A 19010-nucleotide genomic window follows, 5' to 3' on the forward strand; every position below is an offset into this window, starting at 1 on the left:
CCCATTTATAAACCATAGGGCCAGAATCTACAGAGAGGCTGATCAAATAACTTTCCTGGTAACACAGATTTTTTTTCGTCCCTCTGCCTGGGGCACTCTGGTGCCTTCCATGGTGTCAGCGGAGCACGGCTGGAGTCATGACTCCCAAACAGCGAGAAGGGAGGGCCCTGCCTCAGTGAGCCCTTTTTCTCTTTGAGACAGTGGAACCCAAGAGATAGATGCGAACACACAGAGCAGTCATAGACACAGCGGAGCAGAGACAGACCAGAGAGAGGCTGCGCGGCAAACGGAGCCCAGACAGGTGGCACCTCAGGGCAGCACCAGTATCAGCTAAGGTGTAAATGCCTCGAAAAGACCTAAATCAAACACCACATGAGAGAGATGAAATTCAGACAGAGAGGCGGTGGGGACAGCGCTCCTCTCCGCACATTTCCAGGATACTAACTCCAGCTGCCATGCGGTGCCTTCAACCTCCAGGACCTGTCTGCCTCATAGCTGAAGCTTTGTACCCTTTGAGCAACATCGCCCTTCCCCACCCCCAGCCCTGGGGAGTTTTTAGACTCCACAGATAAGTGAGATCATGGACATTTGTCTCCCCATGTCTGGCTTATTCCACTTAGTATGATGTCCCCAGGCCCACCTGTGTTGCCCGCAGGTAGCTATGTGAGATGATGGGTGTGTTCATTAGCTTGATTGTGGGAACCCTTACATGAGGTATACCTACAGCAAACACCATGGGGTGTCCCTTAAATTATGCAACTTTTGGCTGCACGGGGTAGCTCACGCCTATAATCCCAGCACTTTGGGAGGCTGAGGTGGGCAGATCACCTGAGATCAGGAGTTCGAGACCAGCCTGACCAACATGGAGAAACCCCTTCTCTACTAAAAATACAAAATTAGCCGGGCATGGTGGCGCATGCCTGTAATCCCAGCTACTCGGGAGGCTAAGGCAGGAGCATCCCTTGAACCTGGGAGGCAGAGTTGCAGTGAGTGGAGATCATACCATTGCACTCCAGCCTGGGCAACAAGAGCGAAACTCCATCTCAAAAAAAAAAAAAAAATTTCTTTGTCAATTATACCTCAACAAAGCTGGAGAAAATAAAAAGAATGAATGAGGAAGGACATACAGAAATCAACAGCAACAACACAGAGGAGAAAGACCAGAAGACAGACACAAAGACCAGGAGACCAAGAAGGAACTTAACCCAAAGGAAAGGAAACTGGGAGCCCGAGCTTAGTGAGGGAGGAGAAAGCAGGGACAGACAGCGCAACTCAGGAACAGGGTCGGGGAGAGGCAGAGGCACACTGAGCGGTGTGGGGAGGCCAGAGGACAACGTGGACTCAACATGGGCGTGAAATACCTCGGGGCCGGGCGCAGGGGCTCATGCCTGCAATCCCAGCATTTCGGGAGGCCGAGATGGGCAGATCACTTGAGCCCAGGAGTTCAAGGCCAACTTGGGCAATATGGCAAAACCCATGTTTTCTCTACTAAAAAATACAAAAATTAGTTGGATGTGGTGGTGTGTGCCTGTGGTCCCAGCTACTTGGGAGGCTGAAGTGGGACGATCACTTGAACCTGGGAGGCGGAGACGGCAGTGAGCTGAGATCGTGCCACTGCACTCCAGCCTGGGTAACAGAGTGAGAGCCCATCTCAAAAACACCAAAAACCAAAAAACAACCTCAGAGGAGATTGCCTAAGTCCACAGAGCAAGAAAGGAAATTGGGGCAGAGTAAAGGGGTGAGTTTCTTCTTCTACCTCTGGCCAGTGTGTAAGGATGGGATGCTCAGAGCTAGCAGTACTTTGGGCCCATGAGGTCATGCTAAGCATGGCACAGCAGAAAACTGGAAACATTTTGGATCCTTGATAACACTGTTGAGTTACTGCATTAACCAAGTCTGCAGCCAAACCGCTTTGAGGCTTACTTCTGTGGAAAATAAATCTTCTCGTTGAGCTGAGTTTTCTGTCATTAGCAGCCAAAGGAATCCTAACTGATATACTGAGCAAGGCATTCGTTATTCACTCGGTTAATCCAGACTTAAATCTAGTTACTAAATCTAAATTTTTATAAAAGTTACTTACAGATTATTTAATAGTCATAATATTTGTAAAACATTATGGTAGAAAATGCTGTGAGATTATAATTACAGTTATAATTATAGGATGGAAGAATTACTTGTTTGAATTTATTCACGTATCATGCATTTCATGATCTCTTCCTCTGTACTCAGCACTGTGCCCTCTCACAAGATCATCACGGGCTAGTGACAAATGATCAGATACAAAAATATACTATGAGTCAGCGGAACGTGCCACGCTTTAAGGCAGACAAACATGCAGCTGGCCCATGGGGAGGGAGGAAGGACTAGAGGGACACGGGGACGGTTTTTCAAACCAGGCAAGTGGAGACGAGAGCAGAAAGAAAGAGCAGCTTGCGCAAAGGCCCTGGGGTGAGTGACACTGTGTGGGCAGAGTGTGGGCTCAGGGCGTGGGGTCAGGCAGAGGGAATGACGTTTGTTCTCAGCTTAACAAAGAGGCCACTGAAACGTGAAGCCAAGGACGACAGGGACACACTTGCATTTGAGAAAGTTCTCCTGGCAGCAGGGTGCACAGCAGAGGAAGCAGATTCGGGGAGGTGCCCCTGTGACAGTCTTGTGGGGCAGGACAGTGTCCTCATGAAGAGCAAACCGCAGTGGCCACAGTGATGGAGAGCAAGAGGCCGAGGTGGGCAGTAACACTGGGAGCAGAACTTGCCGCAGACCCACGGGCTGAGGGGAAGGAAATGGGGCCGGACGTTTCCAGGATAAGTCCTTGCGTCCACAGGCGCCACCTCTGAGTTGCTCCTCCCCCTTCCTCATCCCTCCATTTTACCACCTCGAAATCAAAATCGAAATCGAAATCGCTGAGCTTTTACACAGTTCACTCAGATGCTTCCCTGTAAATCCATGACTTGCAAAACTGTCAGGTTTTATTCCAACATGACCACAAACATGGAAAAACAAAGACATGTGTAAATTATGTGAGATGAGAAAATAACACATAACTCTAAAAAGGGAATTTCATTTGCAAATGTTTTTTGAGGCAGAATCTCACTCTGTCCCCCAGGCTGGAGTGCAGTGGTGTGAACTCAGCTCACTGCAACCTCCTCCTCCTGTGATTGTTGAGTCGCTGGGGCTACAGGTGTGCGCCACCTTGCCCAGCTAATTTTTGTACTTTTAGTAGAGATGGGGTTTTGCCATGTTGACCAGGCTGGTCTCGAATTCCTGACCTCAAGTGGTCCGCCCACCTCAGCCTCCCAAAGTGCTGGGGTTACAGGTGTGAGCCACTACACTCAGTGTTCATTTGCAGATTTTTTTAGTGTTTGGTATAGTTTCACACCATAAATACCTCACATCCTTAAAAATCCACAGGAAAAAAACTAATATTCAAGAACTAGAACAATTTTTTAAAATATGAGGAAAATGAGACCATAATTTTTAAATTATAATAATTTTAAAAAGACTTGTGATAACGGAGAGCCAACGGTAGTACGTGAAAGTGACCGTGTGGGGCATACTTGGTTGTATTCATGTTTGTGACTCACTAATTATCAATCACTTCTCTCCCACGTACACCTTGGCATGAATGAGTTAGAGAACCACGGCAGGAGCCCAGTGTCATTCATCAACCCAGGTCCTCTGCGCATCTACTGTGCCTGCTGCTGTGGGCTGTGCTGAGGCTGGGATCTGAGGGGCTGGGCACAGCAGGGACTCCTGCCCTGACGGGCACTGCAGTCTCTGGGGTAGCACAGACAAGCCAGGGTGCGTTCACTCCCAGGCAGGAAGGGCTTTAGAGGGGAGAGAAAGCCCTACGGGAGCCCCCAGAGGAGCCCTTAGTCTCGCAGATGACTGCTACATTCACAGGCTATGATGAGCAAGCGCCAGCCAGATACACAGGGACAGACAAGGGTGTTCCGTCAGGGAAGCTCAGGCTAAAGGCCAGTGAGAGCATGGTCCTGAGGAGGTTCATTTGGCTGCTGTGTGAGGGTGTGTTGGAGTGGGGACAGGGCAGAAGAGGGGTGCTAGGTCACATGGTAGAGAGCCCCATGGAGTTTACCCCAGAAGAGGAGGAAGAGCCCGGGAGGCTTTGGCAGGAGGATGCCATGAGCATCACCTGGGTGTGTCTGCAGAAGGACGTTCAACTCTGAGCCTGCCCACCTACTGCGCTCACCCCAGGACAAGCCACCATCCCCACCCTGGGGAGAAGGCTGCATCCACCCCAGGAGGGTGACCTGGGTGTGTCCGGTAAAGGGTGTCTTAAGTCTGACCCTGCTCGTCTTCTGCGTCCACTCCAGGACAAGCCACCAACCCTACTCTAGACCAGGGTGGTCACCTGCTAGCTTGGCCGCCCATGGCCATTCCACATAAATCCAAATCCAATCATCCACTTCTCTGCTTATAACTCTTCCAGGCTTCTTACTTTCTTGCCAGTAAAGTATAATAAAACCCAAACTCCTCGTTCTGCCTACACTGACTCTGCTACAAAGACCCTGGGTCTCACCACCTACCGCCCATCCCGCCCTGCCCCACCCTGCTCCTGGGCTCCACCAGCCTGGCCTTCCCTTCATTCTTGGAACCGCCAAGGCCGTCCCACCTCCAGCCTTGGGTTCTGGCTCCTTCCTCTGCCTGGGCCCCTGTTCCAGCTCGCTCTCAAGCTTTGGCTTCCAGCTTGAATCAGTACCTCCCTGCAGAGGCCTTTCTGGATAGCCTATCTCGGACAGGCTTGAATCAGCGCCTCCCTGCAGAGGCCTTTCTGGATAGCCTATCTCAGACAGGCTTGAATCAGCACCTCCCTGCAGAGGCCTTTCTGGATAGCCTATCTCAGACAGGGCCTCTCTCCACTACTCTCTAGAACACCTCATGCTCATTTTCTTTACAAAACTTCTGATAATATGTGATTCTTCTTCCTTTTCTCCTCCTCCACATATTTCTCCTCCTCCTCCTCCTTCTCCTCTTCCTCTTCCTCCTTCTCCTTCATCCTTTTCACCTTTTAAATGCTTGTCTCCAGTAATCACAATATAAGGCCCTAAAGGACAGGAACTTTAACATCCCAGAGGCTGCTGTGACACAGAGCCCAGCTCACAGTAGGCACTCCGTGGATATCTGCTGCCCTTGTTGAATAAAGACATTGGGGAACGAGGCCAGGAGAAGCAGGGTGTGGCCGAAGGGAAGTGGATGAACTCCAGGGTTAAATTTAGAACAAACAGGATTTCAGGATTGATCATTTGAAAGGAAAGTTTCTACCAACTCCCTGAGATACACTAAGTTTGAAAATTTCAAGGACAAATAGCTATAGGCCAATTTTTAAAAAAAAGTGCTGAGAGGCTGTTCCAAAACCCTGACACTGCTCCGGTCTCTGAGAACACAGGATGGCCTGGAGAGTAAAGGAGGGGAGCATGCAGGGGAGGAAATTCGGCAGCATCTGTGCTGAGCACCCTTCCTCTCCACCACCTAAAGGGCTGGGGAGGTGCCGCCTCTGTTGTTGTAGCCCAGGCAGGATGACTTTGTGGGGCCCCTTGGGGAGTGCTGATATGCTAGGACCAGGTGGCTTAGGTCTGGCTTCCACTGGGACCATCTGGAGGGGAACGCGAGGAGGACAGAGAGGCTGTGTGGTGGCTGACCCTGTCCGCGCAAGGCTTGTTGGCCAAGGACACACGAGTGCTTCCTACAGGCCGGGCCTGGGCCAAGGAGGGGCCATGCGAAGTCCTCAGAGACCCTGCCTGGAGTGAAGCCAACAGGGACCTCCAGGAGAGAAGGGTCAGGCTGGGGAAGAGAGGAGATCAGTCGAAGCCCATTCTCTCCCCTCCTCTTCCTCATTCCTGGCTCTGGCCCTGAGAGGAACAATGAGCCGAGAGGAACAATGAGCAGGTGCCAGGTCGGGGGAGAGGGTGGTAGGGGACACACAAGGTGGAGAGTAGGAGAGCCAGCAAGCTCAGACTGCAGGCTGCCTGCGCAGGTCTCTGAAAGGGACCCATCCTGAAGACCGGAAATACTAACCAAGCGCTCAGAACTTAAAGTCAGTGTGGGCTGTCTGTTGTCCAAGAGTGGGAAGAAAAGCTGTGGAAAGTGATAGGGTCCTCACTGGAGAAGGGGGCGTTTGTCCCACTGGTGGACATTGAAATGTGTGTTTTGACCCAATCTCAAGCCAGGTTTGTTCAAGTCAATGAGGTGAGGAAGCAGAGGCAGGAACCAAGAAGCGGGTTCAGATTTGCAGCATAAGACCCCGTGTCTCAGCCGTGGGGGCCGCAGGGGACAGAGCCCACTCCCCAAAGTGGGGATCCAGCAGGGCGCTGCACTTGGCCTGAGGGCGGGGCTGAGGGAGGACCCCATAACCCCCTGGATGAGGAATCGTGGTTGAACACTGGCGCTAAGCAGGGGGCCGGGAGCGTGGGAAATCCTCTGGGAGTTTGTGGCCACAGCCAGCCTTCGCCCAGGGGCACGGCCTCGGTTCACCGCCTGTGTGAAAACAGCAGCACCAACTCCGGCTGACAATTTAAAGTGGTCTTGAGTTGTTGTTGCCCTAGGTGCCTATCAGAAACAATCACAAATGCTTTCTAGAGGAATCTGCATTAGAGCCAGGCTTCAAAGAAATCCCTCAGACACAGCTCCAAGGAGCGCAAGCTCGCAATCACTGTGCGCAAAATCCACAAGACCGCTGAAGTCAGGAGCACAGCCCGAAAGCCAGCCAGCCGCAGACTCGGCTGTGAGCAGGCTCCAGCCACTGGACCCTCCAGGAGAGAGCAGTGAATGTCAGATTTGATAAGCTTAAGGAGATAAAAGCAAGATATGAAAATGCCATTAAAGACAAGAGACTCAAAGTGACCAAGCAGATAAAAAAATGAACAACGTCGCTCTTGAAATGGAAAGACATGAATTACATATAGCTGAGCACGTGTACCATTTATTAAAGAGCAAATTAGATGTAGCTGGAGACAGGCGAAAGACGGATCTAAAAACGACCGCGGTAAGCAGGAGCCTGTGATGGACTGTACACTGGGAAGTAAAATATCTTGAATTAAATTTCTACCCGCTGTTCAGATCCTATGACCTGACTTTGGCTGAAATTCTGAGTCTCTAGAACAGTGGTTCTGGGGCGGTAGAGGATGGGTCCCAGGGGACGTCTGGCAGTGTTAGAGACATTTTTGATTGTCACAGCTGGGTGGGGCTACCGGCATCTCGTGGGTTGAGGCCGGGCACTGCTGAACCCTCTACAGTGTACAGGACAGGCTCATTACCAAGACGTGTCCATCAAAAATGTCAGTAGTTTCTGTTCCTTCTGCTCAGTTTGTTTGAGAACCTAAAATGGCTCTTAAAAAATAAAGTCTATTTTTAAAAATGTTGATGGTGAGGTTGAAAAAGCTCACTTTAGGATGAAGAGGGAGGAAGAAGAGGGAAAAAACCCTGTTCTCACCAGGTCGTCACCTATGCAAACAGCAATTTCATGCAGTTAAACCAATATGTGGAAGGGCTTTATAAATCATAAGGTGCTCAATGGAGTTATTCGTAGAAATCCTAGAGTTTCACACAGAAAATTAATGAAATGGCTGGGAAGGCAGTCGACTCCCAAATATGAGAATTTGTATCTGAAAACTCCCCTATTCAACTGTATTGTCTTATGCAAGGCATAACCATGTGCCCCGCTGCCCAAACCAGAAGGTAAGACTTACCGTGACCTCCTGACACGTCCTTATTCCCTACGTCTCTAGTTACTGAGATTTGTCAACTGTGCCTTCTACATGTTTTCCCCGTCTTGCCTTCTTTCCAACCCTGCCCTCCATAACACAGCGTGGGTCCTCCTTAGCTCTTGCCAGAAAATAGTAATTACTGGCTAAAGGCTTTCCCTACAACCCACCTGTGGTCCTGCCACCAGCCTGATCCTTCTAGAAGCGAATCTGGTTCAGTTACCCCAGGGCATGCATAGCTCCAGAGCTTGGAAGCTTGGAAGCCCCAGACTCTGTTCTTCCTAGCCAGGCCTTCTTCCATGTTGCGTTTGCCTCTCCTCCTTCCTCCAGGGTGCAGTCTCTGCTCCTGCCCCGCTGACTTACTCCTAAGAAGATGAACTGTGGTGTCTCCGTGACATCATTCACGCAGTGGCCACGGCTGTCCTTCCTGCCCGCTCTGCCTCTGCCCACTGGCCACATCTCCTTCCAGCATCTTCCAGACCCAGCATTGCTCCAGGAAGCCACACCGAGATCACTCCACCCCACAGGCCCTGTTGGGGTCTCTCCTGGGTTCCTCTAGTTTGCTCACTGTGCTGTATTAAAACTTTGGGTTCCCCTCTCTCTCCCACCAATGTTAAACTACTTCAGAGAAGCAAGTGTCCGTAGCGTTCCATGCGTGTGTGTAAACAGACGTTACTAGGATTATTTTCAGTGGGTTGCTGATTAGGAAGAGCTTTGGTCTACATTATTATTTCTGTGACACATTTATCTACGAAAGAGACACAGCGAACCCCCTTATGCAGTGAAGATGGTGAGGCTCTAGGAGGTTAACACAGAAATAAGGGACTTTTCCAAGCCTATACATAAATTATAGAGGAATTCAAAAGGAAGGGAGTCAGCAGGAAAGAGGAAACAGGTTACAACTATAGCAGGAAGGATTTCTGTAGCTTAAAAAGGAAAAAAAAAACCCATCATAGAAAAATTTCTCAAGATCTGGCATGGGTACAAAAGAGAACATAAAATCTTTGCTAGATTTGTTTTAGCAAATTTTCATTGTTTAAAAATATTTCATAAACACCTATAGTATTTCAGGCACTAAATACCTCTACTAGAGATGAGAACTTGATGAACACGTAAAAGCCAGACAGGGGGAGCTGAGAATAGCCCGTGTGGCAGCCCCGGGAGAGGCGCGCCCTGTGGTGCGGTCTCCTCCTCCCCTCATCAGGGGAGCTCGGGAGGAAGCTGGGGCTGGGAGGCAGCACCGCCCTTCCCTGCTCCGCTGGGTTTTTCCCTGTTCTGGGCAACCTGCTGGGTCACGTATGTAGAGAGAGCCTTCCCGGAACACATGAGAATGCTAGATAAAACAAGGGGGAAATCTCTTCTAATGAAGTGTGGCTGGTCCGATAGTAAGCAGGGAAGAATAAACGCAGGCAAAAATGAGGATAAGGAGATATTGTGAGGTCGAGCACTGTTCTGAGCAGTGCCTGTCCTGCAGGCTTATGTGAGTCTCTGCCATCTAGACCAGAGGTTCAGTGGGGGGCCAAGCAGGGTGTGGGGGGTCGGATCCGAGTCGGCATTCCCATAGAGCAGACTCAACGGCGTGACCTTGGAAGAACCTCACTGTGAAGAAGGAGGCTTGCATCTTCAGGTGGGAGTGTGGCAAAGAGCAAGGGGTAAAAACTGCCCTCTCAGATTTCTTTAGCTCACACTTCAGCCAGTTGGAAGCCAAAATCCTCACTGCTAGTATGGCCTGAAAAACTCCAATCCAAACTTATAGTTTTTAGAGGTTCCAGATTGGTAGCACCCAGAGGACCAGGCAGAGGCAAATGTAAGTACAATCAGGAGGAACATGCTTTAAACACGTGTCACAGTTTAAACGGGAAATTTCTAAGGGGCATGAGCTCGCAAACATAAATCACTAAATAATCACAGATACAAACTGTGGGCAAGAGTCAGCAGAGACAACAAATTCCAAAATCAGACCTGTACAGATAGCAAAGGTTAGGAATTTGTATAAATAATATAAAATATGTGTCTTCAATACATTTGAAAAACAGCAAGGAAGGTTGAAGCATTACAAGAAAACAAGAGATTATAAAATGACCAAGCAGATTTGTAAAAATAAGTAAAACTTTAAAATTGAAACAGTAATAATTTAAATAAAAAATTCAATAGATTGGCCAGGTGTGGTGGCTCATGCTTATAATCCCAGCACTTTGGGAGGCTGAGGTGGGCGGATCACTTGAAGTCAGGAGTTCAAGACCAGCCTGGCCAACATGGCGAAACCCCATCTCTACTAAAAATACAAAAATCAGCCAGTGTAGTGGTGCATGCCTGTAATCCCAGCTACACGGACTGAGGCAGGAGAATAGTTTGAACCTGGGAGGCGGGGGGTGCAGTGAGCCGAGATCACACCACTGCACTCCAGCCTGGGTAAAAGAGTGAGACTCTGTCACAAAAAAAAAAAAAAAAAAAAAAAAAAAAAAAAAAAAAAAAAAAAATTCAATAGATCAATTAACAGCAGTTTGGGCAAAGTCCAACAAAGAGTTGGTAAAAGAGACGTTGGATCTGATGATAATTGAGAGAAAGACAGAAATACAGGAAATATGAAAGGGGGGTTAGGAAATATGGAAGATAGAAGGAGAAAAATCCAGCATGCCTCTGACTATTAGAATGAGACAGAAGAAACAAAGAAAAACAGAAAAGCACTATTCAAAGAGGTGAGGCAATACTGCAGAATTTTTCAGAGTAGATAAAATATACCGATCTTCATATTTATAAAGACCCCCAAAATCCCCAGGAGGATTCAATGAAAAGAAAATGATACCTAAATACATCATATTAAATATTTGAAATACCAAAAACCGAAAAAAAAAATCTCTCCAGAGCAACCAGAAGAAAAGACAACTTTTCTACAAATGAATGTTAATTACTGTCAGCTACCATCTCAACAGCAATATTGGAAGCTGAGAGAGTGGAATAATATATGCGATGTGCTAAGAGAAAATAACTTTAACCTTGAATTCTCTGTCCTACAAAAAAAAAATCTTTCACAAACAAGGACAAAACAAAGACATTTCCAAGTAAACAATCGAAGAAAATTCTCACTTCCAGTGAAATTGTGTGGGTAAAGCTAGACACACACGAGCTGCATGAAAGTAAATCATTTGTGTATTGTATAATTTGTGGACTTAAGTTGGAATTGATGTCTTAAATATGCTATTTAAAAATAGCATATACGGGACAGTGATCAGTTAAAACCTTCTAATGTTTTCATATTTTTCTGAAGATAAAGAGGCTTGATTACCTTTAGACAAAAATTCAATAGATTGGTTAAGCATACATGCTAAAGTTTCCAAAGCAATCAATTAAAGGAATATAAATCCAATGTGTAATTGCCAAACTAATAGAGGTCAAAGTATAGAACAAGAAAAAAATTTCAAATGATAGTAAGAAAGCAGGAAAAAAGACACCTGGAAAAAGCAGGATAAGTAAAAAAAATACCAACTGTTGGGAAGGGCCACCGCCATGGGTCCTGAGCGTCACTGCACCTTCTTGCTGAGTATGTGACGAATGTCAGGCACTGACCACTGTTAACCCAGGCCATTGCTCAGTGTCACATTTGCAGTGAGCAACCTTGGGAAATGAGGTAACATTTTCCTCCAAGACAAAAGCAGGCTTGCTGACCTCTTGTTAAAGAACACCAGGTTCCCCAAGCTCAGCTTTCCTCAACTGAGATGCAGTTTTACTGTAAACATAGAATGCATCTAGGCCCCCATAGGATGTGGGGGGCAAAGGAGTCCTATGCAAATATGATACTCATGCCATTTTCTGTTCCTTGAATTAAAATGTCCTTTATCTCTGATCTTCCAATATCCACCAACTCTTCTAGTAGCTATTATTGGGCTAATTAGTAGTTTGTAAGTGAGGCAAAATAAAATCCTAGACCATATACAATCTAAATAGAAATAAATCAAAATATGTAAAAAAATAAAGTCAATGTTAATGAGCTAAACTCTCTAGTTAAAAGACAAAGAGTGCCAAATAGGTTTACAATAAATTTAGTTATAGAAAAACATATATAACAAGATACATAAAAAGTTTCAAATAAAATAATGGAAATAGATACATCATGCAAAAACTAATGAAAAGAAGTAACATTAATGTCATACATAGGATGCAACAAGCATTCATAGATATAGAAAAAGCACTACATATTGATGAACGTTTCAATTCACCAGGAGGATACAATAATTCTAAGCTTACATGCACCAAATAATATAGCTTCAAAATGTATTAATCAAAAAATGACAAAACCAAAAGGAGAAATTGACAAATCCATTATTATTTAGAAAAATTTTTGTCTCAATATATGTCTTGGGCCATTGTATATCTTGCTACTCTCATCTGGACGATGTGGTACCTGCCTTCAATTTTGTTTACCAAGATTAATACTGAATCCTCCTAAAGTTCTGACCTCCGCTGTCAGTCCTTCAAGGATGCTCTCTGTGACCCCCAGACTTAGTCAGGTGCCCTGGCAGATGCTCTTAAGATACTAGGAATTTCTTAGATGGGAATACTTACTTAGGTGTATGTGTGTGAGCATTTAATTAATGCTTTTATTAGACTGTAAACCCTGTGAGGGCAGGAATTGTGTCTCCTTGGCAAATCACTATACACAGTGCCTGTTACTGATGGCTGATCTACTTAGAACAAATATTTGCTGAATGGATAGACGAGTGAAAGCAGTCACTGAACTGGCAGCCAGATGGCCACTACTGCTTTTTTGACATGCACTTTGTGCCACAGGATGGAAGTGCAGAATGAGGATTAACTTGTGACAATTGGTTCCCTCTCTCTCTTCTCCTCTCCTTCCCTTTTCCTCTTTTTAAGCCAGTAATTAGCACATAACCTTGGGCAACTGAGGCAATAAGTCAGTAACTCTACATACTATTTTTAGATTTGCTAAGGGCATACAACATGTACTATTCAAAAACGAAAAGAAAGGGAATTATCTAGTAGGGCACAGATGTTATATTCACAATGGTACATCCTGAAGTTCAACACAGGGAAAAGCCCACATTTCTTCAAATCAATGTGCGTCCCATTTACTGTGCCTGCTCCCCCAGTCCATGACGTCACTTCTTCCAGTTATTCTTGTGATTACATGTCCTTCCGGGAACAACTGGCTGGAGATTCTGGTGACTTTTAGGAAGTTTGAGGCTCCAATCCTATCATCATTTTCCAGGAGCAACTGCTTTAGCTAAACCTCCCGGTATTCTCAGGGAAGGATCTGACTTAAGTTGCGTGAAAGTATATTGCAAATGTGTTTTGGCTTAGACGTATTTTAAATAAGGGCCCATACATATTAAAAAGTAAAGAGAGAAATTACAGCCTAGGGGTTTGTGGTGTCCATGTAGCATTAACATAATGAGTGCTGTGGCTTACTTGCATCCTGCAAAAAGCCACCTTGAAGTCCTAACCCCTAGTACCTGTGAACATGACCTCACTTGGAAATAGGGTCTTTGCAAATGAAATCAAGTTAACATGAGGTCATAATTGGATTAGGGTGGCTCTAAATCCAATATGACTGGTGTCCTTATAAGGAGAGACACATACACACAGAGGAATGCCTGGTGAAGGAGGAAACAGAGATTGGAGCGGGGCATCTCCAAACTAGGGAACACCAAGGATTGCTGGCAACACCAGAAGCTGGAAAGAGGCATGAATCAGATTCTTCCCTACAGCCTTTAGAGGGAGTGAGGCACTGCCCACCCCTGATTTTGGAGTTCTGGTCTCCAAAACTGTGGGAGGACAAGTTCCTATTATTTTAAACTGTCCAATTTGTAATGCTGTCTTATGGCAGACCTAGAAAATGAACGAAACTACTTACGCATCCTTTAAAGCTAGCTATTAAAGTTTCCTATTTGATAAAGACTTGAAAATGTAACAAGATGCATAATAGCATCTACAAGTATTCACCTTTCAATATGAAGAATGGCAAAGGGTGACCAGGCTGCCAATAAGATAAATTATGGAGCTGGAATCAGAGGCACAACGTTAGTTTTTGAATTACCAGTCGTGTGGGGGAAGCTGTTTAAGTAAAAGAACACTGAGAATGGGATCAGAACACTTGGGCTGGAGTTTCCGTTTAGCCGCTTTCTATATATTTCCCCTAAGCACTGGTACACCCTGTTCCTTCTGCCAGTCACAAACTCTCCACCTCCCCTCCTCTCTCTTCAACCTGCTCACCTCTGTCCCTCTCCTAGGCCTTGGCTAAGACTCCACTCCTGGGAGGTCTGCCCTGGTTCCTAGGCTGGGTTACAGGACCTCCTGGAGCAGCCCTGCCATGCTCACGGGAATGTGCCCCCCCTTCTCTGGATCTACCTGGAGATGGGGGCACTCCAGGAAGCCTGGCCCCAGCTCATCATAGTCCATGTTGTACCCACAGAGTTCTTGGCACATAAGAATTCATTTTTAGCTCTAAATAAGTAAAGGTATGAATTAAACAGTAGCATTAACTTTGCCATAGTTTTGCAAACTCAAAGTGTGGTTTACATGTGTCAACATTTCAACTTAACCACAGATTATTTTGCCTCCCAATGGATATTTGGCCAAGTCTGGAGAAACTTGTCAGAAGGTGAACTAAAGGATGCAAAGACAATCTGTGCGTGCCCCTCAAAGCTGCCAAAGCGGGCCTGGAGTCTGCAAGTGCTCGTTAGAACAAAACGTTTGCTTCTAGGGCCAGTCCTCTGTGCAATTAGAGTTGTAGTGGTGAGGTTGTAAATCAGAGTTGATAGCTCCTATTGTTAGGGAATTTAGCTGTAGGAATTGGGAAATTTGCCATGGTCCCTGAGCACTGAACCCATGACCCAGGGGTGGCTTGGTTTCCTTAAACTTAGTGCCCATCTCAGTTGATCAGAGGGCATCTATTTCAGTCTCTCAGATCACGTGGAATCTCTTGATCGGTTCCACATGGACCAGCTTCTGACACCCTGGCTGCAGAACAGAAGCGGCGGCTGGGAGAGGTAAGTCTAGACCCAGGTAGCAGGGACCCCCCTGGACCCACACGCCCACACGGCCATTGCCCTGAGAGCCAAACCTTCCAAGAGGCCCTGAAAGAGAAAGAACACAACCAGCCAAGCTTGGGACTGGACAAGCCAGTCAGCAGCACTGAACCTTACAGGATAAGTCCTAGGCCACGGAGGAGCCAGTCGAGGTCAGCCTGGAGTCTTCTTTATTCATGACATTGCATCTGTGCAGCGCAAGGGCCCCGCCAGGAAGACCTGGTCCAGCCGCATGCCTTGGCTGGGGCCCCTGACACGCTCCTTCCTGGGGTCACCCGCGTCCCAGCCTGGCCCTTCTGGGCCACGGTGCAGCTCTCAGGGACCTTCTTCGTTTCACCAGGGGCTCCTCACACCAGAGCTTACCCCAAAGAAGTGAACCCCTAAGCCCCCTTCAGTTCCTAGGATCCTTGACTCCTACCAAGCAAACCCTTTTGTCCTCACCCCTTTTGAATCTCCTTTGAGATCTCAGAGGTAGGCATCTCCTGCTCCATTCTAATTCAGGCACCTTTCCCCTCTCCAGCAAGTTCTCCTGCTTCTCAGGCCGTGGTGGGTGTGGGCCTCTGTGCGAGCCGCTCCCCTGTGTGCCTTCGGCCGCCACTCCTCCCTCAGCTGCTCGCATTCCCACTCTGTCCTTTCTCCAGGCTGACGCCCAGCCCTCCAGACCTCCTACCCCAGTTCAGAGCCACAGGTCCCAAAGCCTCCGTGGATGTCCTCCAGGCACTGCCAGGGAAGAATTATTCCACAAATATCTGTATATCAGTATGTGCCAGAAATCGTTCTGAGTCATGCCGATCTCCCAGTTCACCATCTTTTTTGCCCCAGTGTTCTCCTATTTTTTTTTTAACTCTAAACCACTCAGTAAATGACACTGATGTCATCATGATCACAGTTCTTCAAATCATCCTGATTTCTCCCCTTTCACGGCCCTCCCAAGCCCAGCCCCTTATCCACACTTTGCATCCTGTGCGTTTGATCGCTCTGTCACCACACGCCCGCCTCGTCCCCATGGCCGCAATGGCCAGAGGCATGGCTTCATCTCTTCTTGCCGGGTTAGTGCAGTTCTCTGCTGGTGGGGATGTGGGCCTCCAGGATTCCTCCCCAATCTGTCTGCACCGCTGTTCAGATGTGTTTTAAAAATTCAGGTCTGGTCAAGCCCTTCCCTACTCTACACCGTCAATAATTTCCTGTACTTTTAAGGATAAAGTTCACATCTCTCAGCTGACCACGCAAGGTTCTACATGCCCGTTCCACCTCTTTCCATACCGCTCCCTAACAGGAACTCTTTACTACTGCTCTTAAATTATCCAAACGTAGCACATTTGAAAAATAGCCCCACCATTTAGCCAATTGCCTCTCATCCTTTGAAACTTTTAAGTTTTTCCAGGAGGCTTCCTATACCCACAGGACACACATACATGCACACACACACACACGCACATGCTCATACACACACATGCACATGCTTACACACATACATACACACATGCTCACACACATGCACATGCTCACACACGCACACGCACATGCTCATACACACATGCACATGCTGACACACATACATACACACATGCTCACACACATGCACATGCTCACACACACGCACATGCTCATACACACACATGCACATGCTTACATACATACACACATGCTCACACACACGCACATGCTCACACACGCACATGCTTACACACATACATACACACATGCTCTCACACACATGCACATGCTCACACACATGCACACGCACATGGTCATACACACACGCTCATACACACACGTGCACACACACGCTCATACACATACATGCACACACGCACATGGTTACACACCCATGCACACATGCTCACACACATGCACACATGCTCATACACACACTCATGCACACACACGCACATGCGCACACACACACATTCACACAGGCACACACACTCATGTTCATACACACGCATGCACACAGTATGCACACACACGCATGTATACACATGCACACACACATACATGCACACGCTTCTCCTCACTCCCTGATTTTTATGCTGTTTTTCTGAGGGCCTGGAGAACATTGTGCACGCCTCCATCTTACCATATACAACTGCTGCACAATCTGCCTTTGTACCTGAGACTGGGCAAGAATTACTTGAGAGCAGAAGCCATGTCTCATTTGACAAACAGGCAGCTGGCACGGGAAGGGGACGGGCATTTAATAAATGTTTCTGGATTGAACACGTGAGTGAGTTCGTATATTCCTGAATGACTCGCCATTTTAGTATTTTCACCTATCACCGCCACGCAGCTGACTTCTTAATCTGTTTCCAGCTCTGCCCTCTCTCACTAGCTGGAATCCCGTCTCCAACTCTCTGCAGCCGACTCCATCTGCGCATCACTCCGATCTGTATTACAGTGATTACTCCGGCGTCTGCATCTCGTCCTGAGGTCCTGAACTTTGGGATGGCACCGACCATCTGTGACTGTCCGACTCAAAACATCGGTGCCTGGCACAGGAAGCATCTCATTCTGTCTCTCCTCACCCCCCTTATGCATTTCACCCATCACCAAGGCCCATAGAGTCTACCTTGCAGCGTCTCACCAATTCACCTGTCTCTCTAAGGCCACTGGCACCTCATGCCAGCCCTACTAATGGGCTCCTTCCTTCGCCCCTCCTCCAGTCTAGTCAATATGTTACCAAAGCATTATCCCTCTCCACTGCTCTGCCCTTCAATCATCTGTACCACAAAATGTGACTCAATAAATTCAAGCTGCTATTCCAAACGTGGCCTCATTTGTCACACCAGCCTCAAGCTTCATCTCGCACCACTCAGAGTCTGCTCCACACCAAACCCAGCAGGACCAGGTAGTATTTCCACATCTGCCCCTCGCGTTCCTGCCCCTGCGCCCGTCTGCGCTCCTGCCCCTGCCCTCCCCTCTTCCTTCTTCTTAGATCATCTATCCATCTTTTAAGTCCAAACTTAAATAGGACCTTTGTTCATGCATTTCCTCATTTCCCATTAAGATAAAACTTATTTCTCCTGTGAAACCCTGAGCACTTTATAACCACTGCAGTATAACTTGTGTTCTAACTAGAATCTGTTTCCGGGTCATCCTCCCTGTTAAATCCCATGCTATGTATCGTAATTCCCAACAAAACAAATGAGCATGGTGCTGAGGGAATCCTCCTCATGGTATATAGATTTCCAGATTTTTAGGGAATGAGAGCCTAATGTCACCCTATCTGACATTTCTGAGGCCAATGGTCTTTTAGGGGTAATGAAGAATTATTACTATGATAATTATTTGGGAATTATACCTTACTCACTCATGCAACCCCCACTCCCAGGGCAAGGCCTTGCAGGCAGGAGGTGCTCAGTAAAGGACCATGCAATGGATGGGATTGTAGACCCAGTGAGCTGAAGAAAAACCAGACCCCGGGGGGTTTTCGTTCCACATCAAGCAGGTGAGCTGAGACCACGGGCTGTCTTCCTTGGAAAGCACAGAGAACCTGGCACGATTGTTTTGCTACCAGGACTGCAGGGCTGTCTTTCTGCGAACTTTCATTACCAGAGGTTTAAAGGCTCGCCAGCAGAAACTTCAGAACTGCATGCCCAACATGATCTCGATAAGTAGTGGGTCATTGCGGAGGGTAGAGAGAAGTAGTCTCTGAGTTAGTCTTATTAAAACAAATCTTTATTACCCTTAAAAGAACATTGGCCTCAGAAATGTTAGATGGGGTGACATTAGGCTCTCATTCCTTAAAAACCTGGAAATTTATATACCATGAGGAAACTTCCCTCAGCACCAGGCTCATTTGTTTTGTTGGGAATTACAAAAAAAAAAAAAAAAAGCACAATTAACTTGTACCACAAGATGCTGAGCCAGAGCCCCTCTCTACTGCGGAGGGAATGAGATAAGGCCTCCCCTGGGGTTTCTATTCTGGGGTCTCCCACAGGAAGCCTTTCATCACCACATTCTTATTCATAGACATTGAAACAATACTAGCATTTAATTTGCACCAGGAACTGGGGTAGCAAGAAGAGGGGGCATTCTCCAGCTGTCTAGAGGTGGGAGGGAGGGGGTCCATGTTCACCGTCCTCTTTTCACGGCCATCACTTTAGGCTGGAGGTGGGAGGGAGGGGGGTCCATGTTCACCGTCCTCTTTTCACGGCCATCACTTTAAGCTGGAGGAGAGAAGGAGGAGGGGTCCGTGTTCACTGTCCTCTTTTCACGGCCATCACTTCCGGGTCAGGAAATGATG

At 47.3% G+C, this 19010-nt stretch overlaps 1 protein-coding gene and 1 long non-coding RNA gene across 7 annotated transcripts in view; one reads left to right on the forward strand and one right to left on the reverse strand.

The window, feature by feature from the left end:
* RPS6KA2 (ribosomal protein S6 kinase A2) overlaps positions 1–19010 on the reverse strand; it is a 453410-nt gene that overhangs the window by 222203 nt on the left and 212197 nt on the right. The gene's annotated exons all lie outside the window — the stretch shown is intronic.
* Positions 2066–17144, forward strand: LOC107986671 (uncharacterized). Its single transcript, XR_001744466.2, has 3 exons — positions 2066–2448; positions 14636–14725; positions 17078–17144. It is a non-coding gene; the product is annotated as an uncharacterized LOC107986671 (long non-coding RNA).

Source organism: Homo sapiens, chromosome 6, assembly GCF_000001405.40.
Source record: "Homo sapiens chromosome 6, GRCh38.p14 Primary Assembly".
In the NCBI taxonomy this organism is placed as follows: domain Eukaryota; kingdom Metazoa; phylum Chordata; class Mammalia; order Primates; family Hominidae; genus Homo; species Homo sapiens.